At 37.1% G+C, this 16,573-nt stretch overlaps 1 protein-coding gene and 1 pseudogene across 5 annotated transcripts in view, besides 1 other annotated feature; both read right to left on the bottom strand.

Annotated features, from left to right (window-relative positions):
• Positions 1-16,573, bottom strand: part of SCN2A (sodium voltage-gated channel alpha subunit 2) — a 152,891-nt gene that overhangs the window by 92,133 nt on the left and 44,185 nt on the right. For 4 of the 5 annotated variants that reach the window (NM_001040143.2, NM_001371246.1, NM_001040142.2 and 1 more), the window contains 2 exons: positions 4,082-4,399; positions 3,037-3,155 (listed from right to left, as the gene is read on the bottom strand). In NM_001040143.2, the coding sequence (NP_001035233.1) occupies positions 3,037-3,155; positions 4,082-4,348 (386 nt within the window). In that variant the 5' untranslated portion in view covers positions 4,349-4,399. Of the gene's footprint in view, positions 1-3,036; positions 3,156-4,081; positions 4,400-6,036; positions 6,118-16,573 lie in introns of those variants that run through there. The other variant, NM_021007.3, reaches the window with a different exon arrangement.
• Positions 6,139-6,433: an enhancer, noted in NCBI's record as "tiled region #13511; K562 Activating DNase matched - State 13:Ctcf". NCBI's record gives its function as "activates a minimal TATA promoter and a strong SV40 promoter by Sharpr-MPRA in K562 cells {active_cell/tissue: K562}" and the evidence as "EXISTENCE:reporter gene assay evidence [ECO:0000049][PMID:27701403]".
• On the bottom strand, positions 14,127-14,919 carry MAPRE1P3 (MAPRE1 pseudogene 3; annotated as a pseudogene).

Here is a 16,573-nt window from a genome sequence, read left to right as displayed (position 1 = left end):
AAAGCTTGGTAGGGAACTTTAGGAACATAGATTATTTTTAACTTGTTTGTTATCTAGAAAATAAATCATGTTTTATTTAAATATCAAATAAGACACTAGGCACATCAAAAGAATTTTCAGTTTTCAGAATGCACCCTGGTAAAAATATCACAAGCATAATTTCTCATTCAGCCAAAATAAATTTTTAAAAAAGCTAATTTGATACACAATAGCTCCTAATAGATAACAGCTCTTTGAGAAACAAGTCAAGGTTTTTGTTTGAAATAGAGGTATTAGTCCAAGTTTAAAATAAAAACTTATTTAACATGAATGGCTCCTTGTTGGTTTATAAACTAGTGGTAATAAATATACAATGACCTCCCAACTGTGGCCAAACAACCATGACCATCTCTCCAAGCATTTTTAACTTACAGTAAAAGACACTGTACTTGAAGTCAGAAAATCAGGATTTAAGTCTAGGGTTTGCAACAAGAGGAATAAAGGACAAAATTATTGTGAAAATCAGTTACTAACTACAGCATCTATATACCTCTAACTTTACTGGGCTATTTGATCAATTGCACCAGCATCACCAAAACATGGAAGGATTCATGTATCTTAGACTATTAGCCTCACTGCCTTTTGTTATATCTCTGCTCCAAGGTGAGACATCTGAAATATAACACTTTAAGTCAGGAAATTAGAGACTTTTTAAAATCTAATTTTCTACATTGGAATAAATTTGTGACTCTAAGCCATCTGTAAACTTCTCAGAGAATCAACAGCTCAACTTGGCATACCTTAATAGATTTGCCTGGCTGGCTTCACATTTCAACCTGCATCTCCTCAGGCCTCCCAATGACTTCAGCCTGTGGAGGGTGAGTTCTTTCCCCCAGGAAGCAAATACAAGCCCACAGATTCAAGTTGTATCTGGATATCTAGAGAGGTCCTGGCACAAACTGTGTCCTTAGTACTCATATTCTCTGATCAGAATTTCTTAAACTGCCCTTACCCTCTACCACCAGGAGTCTCTTTTCCAGGGAGTTTTAAATGGGGATTCATAATCTCCTAGGATTTTTTTTTTCAAGTGGGGACAATAGTTTTCATGAGATTTTCCATGGTCTATTACAAAAGTTTTAAAACAAAAATCTGCTTTTGTAAAAAACAAATATATTGGGTTTTCTTAACTCCATCTCATCATTCAGATGCACGACAAGAAAGATTTTTTCTGATCCATTCAAACTTATTTTTTCACTTTTTTTGTATCTGATTCTCTAATCTCTGACTTACTAGTCACTTATTTATTTAATGAATATTTTCCCAATGTCTACTAGGAACAGAAGTCTAGTTCTAGGCTAGAATTTTCCACGTAATTTTATATATAAATTACGTTTGCATAAGGAACATACAATTATTTTAAAATATAATGAATAGTTTATGCAGAGATTTATTCACTGCACAGATTACAAATGCTTGAAACATAATAATAGATCATAATTTATAATCATGAGACCCAAATATAAATTCCAACTTTATTATTTATTTCTAATGCTAACTCAAAGACATCTTTTTCCCCACATGCTACTGGGTTCTCTTATTTGGAAAACAGAGAGAGGTAAGAAAACATTATTGCTTAAGGTAATGCCAAGAAACTAGGAAATCTTAAAACATGAAACATAAACATCAAATAAAAGATGTTGATATCCACCTAAACTGGGGAAGAGGAACAACCTAGAGGTTAAAAGGAGACTTTACAGAATGTTACACTTCTAAAGACAACATTTGCCATACTGGGAGGCAAGTCTAGGGACATGCTTTACATCCCCTCCACCCAGAAATGACATAAGTACCCTGTACCAGGCTTATCCCATTTCCTGAATTCCCTACTTAATTTAGTTCCATACCTTATCTAATTCAAATATTTTCTAGGCCTGCTAAAGGTGGAGAATATTTATACTGAAAGCCTTAATACCAGGCCCTGGGCTAACCACATCATGGAATTCCAAGCAACGATTCTTTCTGAAGAAGAAATAACATGCTGTCCTAATCTGAGGATTTGCTTAATTTCAGTTCCCCTGCCTTACCTCTGATTCCTGAAGCATATCACTCCTCCTCCCATGACTTCTGTGTTCTTCGTGTAAATGCCCCTGCCCCACACAGCTTCAGTCTTCCAAGCCTTTGCTTCATTGGCATTCCCAAGACTGGCTGTCAACAAGACTTGTTTCTGGCCTAGAATAAAATCTCTCATTTCCAACTACTCTATTTAATTTCAAGGAATCAATCAAATTGCCATCTCCCACCAAGATGTCATCAATCTCATTTTTGGAAAGCAGGTGCTTCAATAAGGAGTATAAAAAATAAAATGAGAATGTATATGGATAGATAGACATTAATCCTTTGGAGAGGGATAATTGTAGCAAGACTTGTGACTTCAATAAAACATAGGAACAAGTGATAAAAAGAAAAAGAAAGGAAAAGAATAGAAAGCAAAAGATCAATAAGAAGGCTGTTGCGAAACAAATTTGGAAAAGTATTTGAAAGGGTGTTATACCTACAGACACAATTGTAAACGCTTACTAACTCAAAGCTTTTAAATGCTAAAATAGAAGAAAGTCATAAAATTCAGACCAAAAACATACAAAATTGTAATTCAGATTATGTATATTTATTTTCCAAATGTAAAAGCAGTAAAGAAAATTAGCTCATGGAGTTTACTCCCTTACCTAACATTGTAAATTGAAGACTTACAGGAGGAAAGCCTGGTAACATGGTCAAAATTAATGAGAAAGGCTTGGGATGTGGCAAGCAATTCGTAAGGGAGAAGAAAAGAGAAGAAAGAAGTAATAGTGAGTTGGGTAGAGAAGAAACACTTAGAAGACGGGGGAAAGTAATTCACTTACCTGTGATCTCATTTTGCAACATGCTAACGATTGAGTAAAAGGAAAGAAAAAGAAAGAACACATAACATTGCCAACCACAGATATTTTGGAAAATGTGTAGCTCAATAACTTGGTCAAAGAAGAAAATCATATTAAGTGACGATTTGAAAAAGGATATGAATGTACCAAAATCTTAATAGCTAATTTTCTAATAGGGTTGAAGGGAGTTAAAATGTAAAGGGCAGGGGTGGCACTGAATCGAGAGATTGCTTTCCCTTTATTCAATACTATAAACGTCTGAAAAAGAAAACACAACACATAAAATAAAACTTAGAATATATATTAAGAATATTTTAAGAGAAAAGTAAAACCATTATTTATAAATATTGCCCTGTAAAATAGTGTATAACATAATAATTACCATCATATGACATGAAGATAGATGCTTTTTTTTTCTGAGCACTATAAACTTTCCTAAATTTGATAAATGACATGAGGATTATTAAGAAAATTTGTGATCAATGCCATAGGAATTCTTAGCAACTTTATCAAGTTTTAATGTAAGTATTTTAAAACCGCATTTATAATTCACATAAAGCACAAAATTGAGGCTTTGATTTTTTTTTTTGGTTAGAAAATTTTCTCATGAGAACTTCAAGGTTTTCCAGGTGTGTTCTTTGCTCAGAATCTTATTTGGCACCTACAAGTCACCTGCTATTATTCCTTCTGTGGAGAGCAATAGAAAGGAGAAAGTATGGTATAAAGGAATAATTAAACCCACTGAAGATCAAAGTGACTTATGGAGAGCTAGAGACTATAAAGAGGAATTTAGATACTACTCCTGCAAATATAAAAAATAAAATTTAAATAGACTCCTAGTTTACAGTTTTTGCTTCTCAACATTATTAGGGAATCAGGGTCAATTTACACTGGTTTAAGCATATAATTTGTATTCAAGAAGGTGAATAGGCTTTTGTCCTTCCTTAATTCCCGCGCTGGAGGATGCCTCACCAGTTCTCTGCCTGTCTCACAAATGCAGGTTCAAATGAGTGCTTCCAAAAGACTTCTAGGATCATTGGTCCATTACACGGTCAGGCCCATCCAGCATCTTAGTGATACTTTAGACAGAGGGAAGGAGGCCAGCCTTCTTCACCATCATCCCTGGGACTAGCCCAGAACCAATTAGTAAATAGGCAGTGAAGGCAACTTGACTAAGAACTCACTTTCTTATTGATATAGTAGGGGTCCAGATCCTCCAGGGGCACTGACACCATCTCTGGAGGAATGTCTCCATAAATAAATGGAAGAGATTTTCCTGCTTCCAAGTCACTGTTTGGCTTTGGGCCATTTTCATCATCCTCATCCTTGCGTTCCTGTTTGGGTCTCTTAGCTTTCTCTTCTGCAATGCGTTGTTCAATAGCAGCAAGGGATTCCCTGGTAAAGAAGCGGAAGCTGTCAGGTCCTGGCGGTACCAGCACTGACTGTGCCATCTTTTCATCCTGCTCCTTTAATCACTGTTTAGCTCCTTGCATAAGAAAGTGCTACAGAAACAGGGAGGGAAAAAAAGCAATGACCATTAGAATAAAAGGTGATTGTGTCAGTTACATGACACTGAGCACTGAGATACAGCATAGAAACTCAGATAGCTATAATATTTTCAAAGAAAGCTGTATTTGGTATTCAGGGAATCTCATATGTGCATCCATTTGCTCACATGGAGATCTATCTCTCACATTCAGTAGGTGTCTATGAGGTAATCTAATCTCCCACTCCCAAAATGTTTTAAGTGATTGTGCTACTTGTGGGAAAATATGCAATTCAGAGCTCAGAAATGGAGGATACTGGTTTGTGCCTGCTGTTTCACTTGTGTGAATATTTTGGCAGCCATCTTTTTCAGCATTCTTTCTGAAAAAATAGCAGAGATCCAAAACAAGAGATGAAACATCATATTAAATTGTAGAACCTGAGCTGAGGATCTTGCACATATCTCTCCAAGTCTTTGCACGTGCCCTTTGGCTCACTTTATCACATTTAAGAGTTTATTCCAAGTCAATTCACTGGGTAAAAATCTCTGGAAATCCTAAAATGCCAGGCTATGGAAACATAGGTAGATCCTGCTTGAAAGAAAGGGAGTGGGAAGGAGCAGAAGATGCCTGGTTGTGTTTGGAACTGCTCGGAAGCTGCACAGGAAGGGACCCAGCTCCTGCCAAACCGGGCAGGAAGTCATCCACATCAGAGGTCTGTAGCTCGGACCCCCTGGCTTAGCAACCTGCTGCTAGCTAGTGTAATTGCTTCTTAAATTAACACATTTGCAGTACCTTAGGAAATACTGTAGAGATAGCCAATTTCCTCAAATTATGCCCATTTCATAAAAACGTAGCATCACAGTCTTAGTGTCCATATCAGAATTTGGACTTGAGAAAAAATAATAAGTTTACGATAGTTTATCTTTTCAAGCAAACTCTTATTATATGAGTCTTTGCAATAACCTAAATAGATTTTTACTGGTATTCAAATCATATTTCACCAGACTAAAGTAGATAACTCAAAAGAGCACATCAGTCATTCCAAATGTTACCTCTGAACCAGTGGCAGGAGTTTCTATGCTATTTGAAACAATACAATCAACATCTTGACTCCTAAATGACACTTAATCTATTTTTTCCATCTTTTCAAAAAATCAATCTATTTCACCCCCATACTATAGGAGTCAGAGTTGTCATTTAAATATATGAAATGCATTTTCTAAGAGTGAAATGTGTTATGCAGTTCACTTCTGCAGCATACACCAGATAAAACAGAGGGAAACCTAAAATAACAAAAACTACTGCACAGTTTTATTTAAAAAAAATGTTGAAGTAAACCAGGACCTTTCAGCTACCAGCTAGCAGACTGCCCTCCCCAGTATTATAGTGCCTCCAAAACATCCCTCATTTTTTTCACCCATTCCTAGAGACCCTCATGCCTAGCGACAGACATAGGCATGAAGATGGTCCTTGCACACTGGGGGAGGAAACTGCCATGCCTGGATTCTCTAATAGAAGAGACATGCTAAAACATGCAGCCAGCAGCTTCAAAATGAAAGTGGTCCCTCTGCAGATTTCCCCAAGGATTCTACTACTGTAAAGGTAGAGAAGCATCACAGAGAATAAGCATAATAAGAATAATAAAACATTACCCCTGTAGAATCTTTTACACCCAGAGTTTGGGATTGATAAGCTGGCACCAAGAAGACTGCAGCTAAAATTCCATCATGCTTTAAAAAAAAAAAAATCTTTTTTTTTTTTTTTTTTTTTTTTTTTTAATTCTCCTTCAAAGACCACACCTAACTTCCTGTAAAAGGATTCTGGTAACTGAAGTAAGAAGAGGCATTTCCTGTACAGGGACTACAAAATGGCATTATTGTAACTACCACTAGAGGGCGGGGAACTGTGAAGAGAAACACCTTCACAGCGTACACACAGACATATGTCTGAAGCAGCCCAAAGCTCTCAGTTGTGGAACTGATCTTCCACAGGCTTTTCTTGGAACGAAACATTAAAACTTTGTTGATTTTAAGTGTTAATTTTGTTAACAGATAATGCTTCTCCTCATGCTTTTTATTTGCTATGTCAGAAAGTCATTCAACCCATATAAAGAATTCAAATTTAAAGTAAAGAGAAAGTACAGTAGTGCACTGCTTAATGGCATTTTTGGTCAATGACAGATCACATATATGACAGTGGTCGCATAAGATTATAATACCATATTTTTTACTGTACCTTGTCTATGTTTAGACGTGTTTAGATACACAAATACCATTGCATTACAATTGCCTGTAGTATTCAGTACAGTAACATCCAGTATAGGTTTGTAGCCTAGGAACAATAGGCTATACCATGTAACCTAGTTGTGTAATAGGCTCTACCATCTAGGTTTTACGTACACTCTATGAGGTACACACAATGACAAAAATCACCTAATGACACATTTCTCAGAATATATCTTGGTCCTTAAGCAAAGCATGACGTAAATAGGGAAGGGTTAAAAATAAAAACTCATATTAAATAGCAATTAACCCTTACTATATGTAAGGGTTAAAAATAAAAATTCATATTAAACAGCAATTACCGTATGTAGGCTTGTAGCCAAGGAACTACAAACATAGAGTAGGATTTGATATTAGCCTCAGCCCCAGATAATCTTAAATCCAATGTAGTTCTTTGCTAATTCAATAAAGAGATGGCCTGTGCCACACAAGTTAACTCTCTCCAGAAAAAATATTAACCCAGTGAGACACCAATCTTATTTATCTCTGATTTAAGTCACTAAAAAGCAACCAGAAAAAAGAACTGATAAACCAGTGAGATTGTGAATGCTAGGCTTTCAATTAATATCATAGTGAAGATTTGAGGACTTACTAAGTGCCAGTCACTTGGCTAAGACATTTGCCCTGTATTATTTCATCCTCCACACAACCCTATTGGATAAGTGCTTTCATTATCCTTATTTGCAAACTGAAGTAAGGACATACACTGAGATTAGGAAAAGTCTCCTAAGATCATACAGGCAGGATTCAAACTCAAAATCTGATAGCAAAAATCTGTGATCATTACTCAATCATAAAAAGAAAACAGGCACCGGTATCAATTATAATTAGAACAGTTCTAATTGTTAAATCAATGTATTTCATACTTTCTGGCTTCATCATTTTCATTGGAAAATGTATTTGTTGGGCAAAAACAGAAAACAAAATACCACATCTTCTCACTTATAAGTGGGAGCTAAACATTGGGTACACATGGACATAAACATGGGAACAAGAGACACCGTGGACTATAAGTGGGTATAGGGTGGGGGAAGCAAGTGTTGAAAAACTACCTATTGGGTACTATGCTTGCTACCTGGGTGGTGGGTTCAATCGTGCCCTCAAACTTTGGCATCATGCAATATACCATCATAACAAACCTGCACAGGTACCCACTGAATCTAAAATAAAGGATTTGGAGAAAAGAAGAAAATGTGTTTGTTGGAAATGAGCAAGGGGAAGATGTAGCCCAAAATAATATTTTAGTCACTTTAGCAGATAACTTTTGATTGTAAGAGAAAAAGATGTCTCAAACTAATTGAAGTAAAAAATAAATAAAGACAGGAGTTTATTGGTTCATGGTTTGTCCAGGGCTAGTCTTAGGCATATGATGATTCAAGAGCTCAGCTGATGTTACCAGCTCATAGTTATGCTGTATCCTTTTGTTCTGACTTTCATAGTGATAAGTTTCCTAAAGATTCTTCTCTTAGCCGTAGCTTCCCTACAGCTAGATGCTGTAGCAGCTCTAGCCTCCCAACCTTCCAGACCTCAATTCAGTGGGAAGAAAGACTCCGAAAAACTCATTGCATCTCACTGACACCTGGTGGGTCACATGCCCATCCTGAAGTAATTACTCTGTCCAGGGTAATGCCGTCTTTGATTGGCCTCTCCTAAGCCACATGCTGTAGCCTTGAAACACGGAAGAGTCCTCATTTGAAACCTATGAGTAGTCAGGGTTATCATTGTGGTACAGAAGCATTTCTGAAAAGTGGAGTTGGAGCTGGGAAGGTTGCTTTTGCTTGTAATCCCAGCATTTTGGGAGATCAGGGCAGGAGGATCCCTTGAGACCAGGCATTTGAGGCTGCAGTGAGCTATGATCACACCACTGCACTCCAGCCTGGGAGATAGAGCAAGACAAAGAAAGAAAGAGAGAGAGAGAGAGAGAGAGAGAAAGGAAGGAAGGAAGGAAGGAAGGAAGGAAGGAAGGAAGGAAGGAAGGAAAGAAAGGAGAGGAAGAAAGAAAGAAAGAAAGAAAAGAAAGAAAGAAAGAAAGAAAGAAAGAAAGAAAGAAAGAAAGAAAGAAAGAAAGAGAAAGAAAGACAGACAGGGAGGAAGGAAGGAAGGAAGGAAGGAAGGAAGGAAGGAAGGAAGGAAGGAAGGAAGGAAGGAAGGAACGAACGACAGACAAGTCCCGGTGGCTCATGCCTGTAATCCCAGCACTCTGGGAGGCCGAAGCAGGCAGATTGCTTGAGGCCAGGAGATCAAGACCAGCCTGGCCAACATGATGAAACCCCATCTCTACTAAAAAATAGAAAAAATTAGCCGGGCATGGTGATGGGCACCTGCAATCCCAGCTACTGGGGAGGCTGAGGCAGGAGAATCGCTTGAACCCAGGAGACGGAGTTTGCAGTAAGCCAAGATCATGCCACTGCACTCCAGCCTGGGCAACAGAGTGAAACTCAGTCTCAAAAAAAAAAAAAAAAAAAAAAAAGAAAGAAAAGAAAAGAAAAAAACACCAGGAAATGACAAAGAGCAGAGTTGTTGAGTTACTATTACTGGAATAAGGGGGAAATTAATGCTGGACAGAAAGAACAAACAAGTGCGTGCTCTAGTCACATTCTCATCATATTTGCAGTGCCTCCACTTTTGGAAAGTAACATTATCAATATCGGGATATATACATATGGTATATCTTCCATGTGTACCAACTTCCATGTATACTGGCCAGGCAAGATACTTACAAGATTCCTTCCCCATAGTAAGTTGTCCTACTGCAATCAAGCGCACAATATTTCATAAATCTCTATGATGAGTGTCAACTTCAATTATCAAATCCATATTCAGGTCTTACTTTACAGATGTGCTCAGCAATATACCAACTTGTTATACAAATGATTCTAATTCAAAATAAATTAAGAATAAACAAATTTATGAAATGATTTACCAAACATATTTTTGGGAGAAGATTAGTCATAATAATAACACATAGTATCTACTTTTTTTAATAAAAATCTACACATAGTACCTACTTTTGTCAAGCACTATTTTAAGAGCTATGAAACCATTTATTCCTTATAGCAACCTAATGAAATAGATACTGTAATCATTTCCCTTTAAAACATGAGGAAGAAGTAAAAAATGGAACAAAGGATACTAGAGGCTGGGGAAGATAGGGAGAGATTTGTTAAAGGATACAAAATTACAGCTAGACAGGAGAAATAAGTTATAGCTTCTATAGCACTGTAGGATGACTATACTTAACAATATTATAGAACTTCAAATAGGTAGGAGGAGGATATTGAATGTTCCCAATACAAAGAAATGCTAAATGTTTGAGATGATGGGTGTGCTAATAACCCTGATCTGATCAGTATATGTTATATGTATTGAAATATCACTATGTACCCCATGAATATGTACAAATACTGTCAACTTAAAAAATAAAGAAACAGGAATAAACAGAGGCATCCTGAAATTCAGTAGTTTAAAATACAAATAAGTTCTCACAACTGGAAAGAGTAGGGTCAGATGTGGAACTCATGCTTGCTGGCTGCAGATTTCATGTTTCTAACAATTATGCAATGCTTAAGACATTTTCTGGAATTATGCACTATCAGAAACATACCAAGATATGTGCAGTTTCCTTAACATTATATTAGTTATAGAGTCACCTCTTTCTCTCCCATTGATTCTAGCCAGTGAGTGTGTCTTGGAATATTTAAAAGGGTGAACACAAAATGTTTTACCAAAACATATAAAACATCGAATGAACAACACTGAGTATTTTTTCACATCAAAGATACTTTTGCATAATGTAGATGTAAGTAAAGAATTATAGTCTGTTTCTCATTTCCCAGGATAAGGTTTTCAGAAATCATACATTGGTTTTTCTTCCATTTGTTCTGACCTTTGTTATCACATCATACTGATATTTTATGAGAGTTCTATATGACATATATTACGTGAAGGTTTTAAATTTCATTCAGTTGTACTACATTTCAGACAGAAGATTTTGTGTTACAACTTTTAAGGCCAGACACTATATTTGGAAGACCCATGAATAATGAGAAAGGCAAACGATATTATTTGAAGTAGTCAGAAAATAAAAAATCTTAAGAATTGGGATTCTAAATTCTGATATTTCTATAATGTTTTCCTTTCGATACTCTTTTCCTTTAGTTTTCTCATTTATACAAGAGGAATATATTTTTTCTAAATTAAAATTTTAAAAAATCATGTTATTACACATGATGACATCAGCAAAAAGTTATATGAAAGATAAGACAATTTAAAAAAATAAGGGTATGTAGTAATAAACATTGTACCACAATTTTTTTCTACAAAGATCCACATTAATAATACATGCTCTAGAAATAAATTTATACTAAGAAAATGGCATATTAAATTTCATAGATGAGGACATAATTTTATATTAGTTTATATTGTAATTAGTGGTTGTGGATAAGTGCGCAAAGACTTAGAAAATTTTGTGCCCAAGAATTAAGAAAGCTGAAAACACTAAGGAAAGTCTTTTTTTCTGGAAGTGGCCTTTTAAGTTCTGTTCTACAATTGTAGTTTTTTGGGTTCTTTGGTACATTACAGTAATGTAAACATAAACCAATAAAAGATTTGCTAAATATTATTTGAATACTTATTTTTCAGATATTCTAGCTTTCTTATTCCATAGGTTCAAGTCTATTTTCTTATCAACTTTTTGATTGTTACTTGCTGTGATATATATTTGTATATATGCATATACACACACATATGTACACACACACACACACACACACATGTATATGTATCCTTCTCTTTTTAACCTGAATCCACTAGCCCATTTCTGTAACTAACAATTTCCATAATGGGGAGACAGTTCTGAACAACCAGACTTACGTGTTTTTCTGCTGTAGAGTAGAAACAGAGAATAGTAGAATATGAAGAACTCACGTTCAGTGTTTACTGGTGAGAAAAGCTGTTTTTTTTTTTTAATGCTAGGTTTAGTTCCAATATGAAACTAACTTATTTTTTATAGTTTATTTTTATATTAGGTGCATTGAGCAATATTCTTTTTTCTCTTTCTTGAAATAAAAAAAAATTATTTAGAAACTACTTAAAATAGAAAAAAAAAGCCTGTCAAGAAACATCAGGTGAAAAATGAGTTGCTAATAAAGCAGAATTTTAGGTAACAAAAGTCTAAAAAACCACAAAAGAGAAACAGCACCACTGTCATTTGAACAATGGCTATTTACTTGCATTTTTTGGCATTGTTAATCACTGAATCTGGATTTTTCTCTGAATTCCACACAAAGCATCCATTAAACAACAATTTTGTTATAAAATGTTTACTTTTTACACACATTTTAGGACAAGCTATCACCAGACACAAATCAATACAAATGCATCAGGGGCTGAACAATCTCAGTGAGTGACACATATTTTGCAAACTTCTGCCAAACAAAAGGATGGAATAGGTTGTGCACAAATCAAATGAGGGAGAGTTAAGGAATAACAAATTTTAAATATGAATAATTCAGACATGGTACTGTATTTTCTGTAAAAGAAAATGAACATTTAGCAACACACTAATAAATTTTATCTCTTAAGAGATTAGTGTACTGATAAAGTATTCAGAGAACTGGAGAGCTGTGGACAGCAGATACCAAAAACATCCCAGCTTTGCAGAGGTAACCAGAGCCTTCCCTGATTATTCCCTTTGCCAGAGGTCCACAAAGAATTTGCAGTGTGCCCACCTGCCTGCTGCACTTCCAACTCCAAGCTGCAAACTTTAAGAACCCAAAGAGGTGTCCCCAGTGGGCAAGGGGAGCAGAGAAGAGAAGCAATGTTAGAGTAGGTAGTTAGGCAGACATGAGCAAGGCAGTAGAGAGCCCCTCCCTCAGGAATGTCAGGCAACCATCAGATGACGGTCAGGTGGTTACTAAACTGTCTAAAATAATAATTGGTCTTAGCCAGCACCAGGTAAAGACAGTCCCCTAATGGCTTAAAAAAAAAAAACACCTGAACCTGGTGATCAGAGGCTTCCTGATAAGTTCTCAGGAATTGGGTGAGTGAGCTCAAGCATGCACATTAAGAGGCAAAATGGCAGAGTTTAACTGGCATATGACCTTCTCAGGAACACTCTACTGGTAAAGGAAAATTGCCTCAAGTGAGCATGCACACAACTTCAGTAAACACACTGCACATATTGCCCCTCCCAAGTGCTGGCAGATCACTGCACATGTGTACAGCCTGCTCCAAAAGAAAATAAAGGGAAGAGAGATGCAAACGCCGTAACCAGGCCATAACTAGGCCAATGTATAAAACTTCAAGTCAAGGGCCAAACAGGGCACTTGGACCTCTCAAGTTGCCTGCTTGGCCTTTTCCCAAGTATACTTTACTTCCTTTTGTTCCTGCTCTAAAACTTTTTAATAAACTCTTACTCCTACTCTAAAACTTGCCTCGGTCTCTCCCTCTACCTTAAACCTACTTCTTCCCCTCAGCCAAATTCTTTCCTCCAACGAGGCAAGGATCAAGTTTGCTGCAGACCTCTATGGATTCACCACTGGTGACATGTTAAATGTAAAACTAAAGGATGGTAAAATGGGAAACAACCTCCATTCAAATCTCAGAGATGTGAGCAAATCCCCAAAAGCGTTGTTAGATGAAAGAATTGGACACACCTCATTTCCCAAAAAAGCGTAATACATAGAAATTTCAGAGATAATTGGAAAAATTTCCAGAGAAATCCTCAATGAAAATAGAGCTCTTCAACCCAAAAATCTCAGGGCTGAAACACACCCTGTGTTCATCCAGGCAACAATACCTCTTGCTTTTTAGCCTGGATGCAGTTGGTCAATGACACCAAATGGATTTACAGAGCAACATTTAGAACTTTCCTTTGGGGCCAAAGTCTAGGCCTGTGAGGTTGCAAGCAGCCCTGTAAGGCCTGTGATGACACCAGGTTCCAAAGGTTCTGATGTCTGGCCCTTCCTTCCAACATACAATGTCAAACACATAAGATGTTCTGATGTGTTACATTTGATATTTTGAATATGGAAGCATATTTTAAATATTCTTTAGGCATTAACTTATTACAAAATTCTCTACCAAGATTTCACATTAGGTTAAAATTCAATTCAGTCTTCACATTTCTGTACCAAGGTCTCCACTTCGGCATATTACCAAACACCTTCTCCAGCAATCAATGTTACCTACATGCACATGGTGAGCCCCATGTTCAGCCTCTTTGTTTCCCAGGTGAACTAACCAGATGTTAATGTTGCTCTGCTGCACAGTAAAACTCCCAACTCAAACTCACCAAAAAAGGAGTGAAACTCTGCAAAATGCACTTTAAAAAGAGGTACTTCATGCTCATAAAAAGAAACCAGTGAGTCTTCTAAGAATAATAAAAGGGAGTATTTAACAGTTAAGCACAAGATTTGGAGTGCAGAATTCGGATAAGGCTCTCCTGGTTCGGGTTGTTAAAACTCTTCTTGTTCCTCCTGTGGGCCCCTTTCATCGGATATCACGAAGTCTTCATCTGTGGCACAGAGCATGTCTACAGTCCTCTGCAATACAGGGTCATTTTGCCCCTCGTTCTGCTGGCAAATCAATTCATTGTTCCTTAGCTTTCTGAAGTAGAAATCTCTTTCTCCAAGGCTTCAATGCCAAGTTTCAATACACTGACCTGCTAGCATCAATTTGACCCTGCAGCACTCCTACTGCCCACACCAGGATTTTTTAATACCACCCTGGGGCCTTAGAAGCTGCAGCCTTAGAAGCTGCAGTTATTTGTGGAAATGGTCCTATGTGGAGCTGGATTGCTAGAGCTGAGAGGTTACTTCGGTTTATTCAGAACTGGAGCAACAATAGAGGGAGCCACTTCAGTTTCTTGACCTTGTCCGGCAGCCACAGGGTTATAGTCTTTTTCATTGCAGTTTGCATCAAAAAACTTCTTAAAGTACTGAATGAATTCAAAATTGTCCTGAAAGTTTCCTTTTCCTAATTGTCCACAGAAATTACTTTGTCATCACCCACCCTCTTAAAAATACTGCTTGTAGTATTTTGAAGTTATGAATGTATTCATGGAATTTCACCTTCTTCAAGGCAATGGAGCCAGGGAAGAGGATGACCATAAAGCAACAATAAGCAGCCCCTGAGCACAATTGTTCCATCTTTGTCAAATTCAACTTCAGGAGACTCATTGATCCAGGCCAGTATGCCACGTAGAATTAGGTTGTCATTGGTGACTGATGTCAAGTGTATATTCACTGTCATCTTTGGCTCCTGGTGGAACAGTCTACTGCCCACACCCAGCCCTGGTTCCATCTTCATCTTGTTCAAAATGCTTGACCAACATTCTTTAGATATTCCATTAAATGATTGTTATGTCCTAAGACACATTTTGCTTTTCTTTAACAGAAATGCATACCAATCTTACTATGATGATCTCTGGGAAATATGATTCAGTGTATAGATAATCACTTTACATCTAACTTTCCTAGGAAAAATAAGTTAACTATATAAAAGAAATATACCTGTATTTTAATGGAAGCATTTTTATTTTACTGTAGGTAGACTGGCAATACATTGCTGCAACGTTTTAAAATCTTCAGATGTATTAAGTGCATGTTAGCAGACTTCCAAGAACTCATTCAACCGTCTCTAAATGGCTCATCAGCAGGAAGGCCACCTCTAATCTGATTACATAGTAGTTTGGTTTTGATGGATGGATTATACTGGAATCACAGAATTCCAATTCTGGATTTTAATAATCAGGTAAGAAAGAAAATTTCCCAGGATATGGTTCTCTTTATGAGGGTGAGGTATTTCCACTTGTTTGATATACCTGAATATTTCCAGCTCAGTTTTCCTCATTTCTTCTTTTCATCAAAGACTTCTACCTAAAATTTTTCCATCAGTCCCCATTCTCTTTTATGGGGGAGAAAAAGCAGCCTCTAAACTCCTCAGTGGAACAGTAGATCTGAATGTCTGGGCATCTTCCCCATGAATGAGCAGGTAGAGCCAGGATCAGAAGGTCTTTGAAATAATAATAATAACAGGCTGGGCGCAGTGGCTCACGCCTGTAAACCCAGCACTTTGGGAGGCCGAGGTGGGCAGATCACGAGGTCAGGAGATTGAGACCATCCTGCTAACATGGTGAAACCCCATCCCTACTAAAAATACAAACAATTAGCCAGGTGTGGTGGCGGGCACCTGTAGTCCCAGCTACTAGGGAGGCTGAGGCAGGAGAATGGCATGAACCCAGGAGGCGGAGCTTGCAGTGAGCCGAGATCGCGCCACTGCACTCCAACCTGGGCGACAGAGCCAGACTCTGTCTCAAAAAATAAATAAATAAATAAATTAAATAATAATAAAACAATGCTCAAAAAATAGCTACATTCCAAAGTGTATGTATGCATGCCTGTGTGTATGAGAGAGAGAGAAAAACAGACAGAGAGAGAGAGAGAAAGAGAGAGAGAGAGAACTAGAGAGGAGTGAAGGAGAGCATAGGAGACCATGGGTTCATTTCTTCATGTAATGTCAACACTACCTAAATTGTGGCACACTACTGGCTTCTTGATTTGTTATCTCATTGATCCTTGCATTATTTGTGAAGGAAGTAGTATTGTTGTCACTTTTCAAATGTGGGAGTGATCAGGGTGTATGGATGTTGAATAATTTGCCATTGCCACTCTGAGCCAGAGTTTAAATTCACATGTGTCTGATTTCAAATACTAAATATAGTCCATGTTCCATTTCTCCCCCAGGGTAAGAAATGCACCACTGAGCTACAAGTTAAGAAGGGAAATATGATATAAGTCTGATTTTCTAAAAGTCACTGGATCCCTTTCTATACCTAAGATGTTTATAGAATCCCACAGGTCCACTGCTATTAGACAAATTTGTGACCCAGTACAAATAACATAGT

Source organism: Homo sapiens, chromosome 2 (genome assembly GCF_000001405.40).
Source record: "Homo sapiens chromosome 2, GRCh38.p14 Primary Assembly".
NCBI lineage: Eukaryota > Metazoa > Chordata > Mammalia > Primates > Hominidae > Homo > Homo sapiens.
The sequence above is the reverse complement of the archived record's forward strand: the minus strand, read 5'-3'. Positions and strand labels throughout refer to the sequence as shown.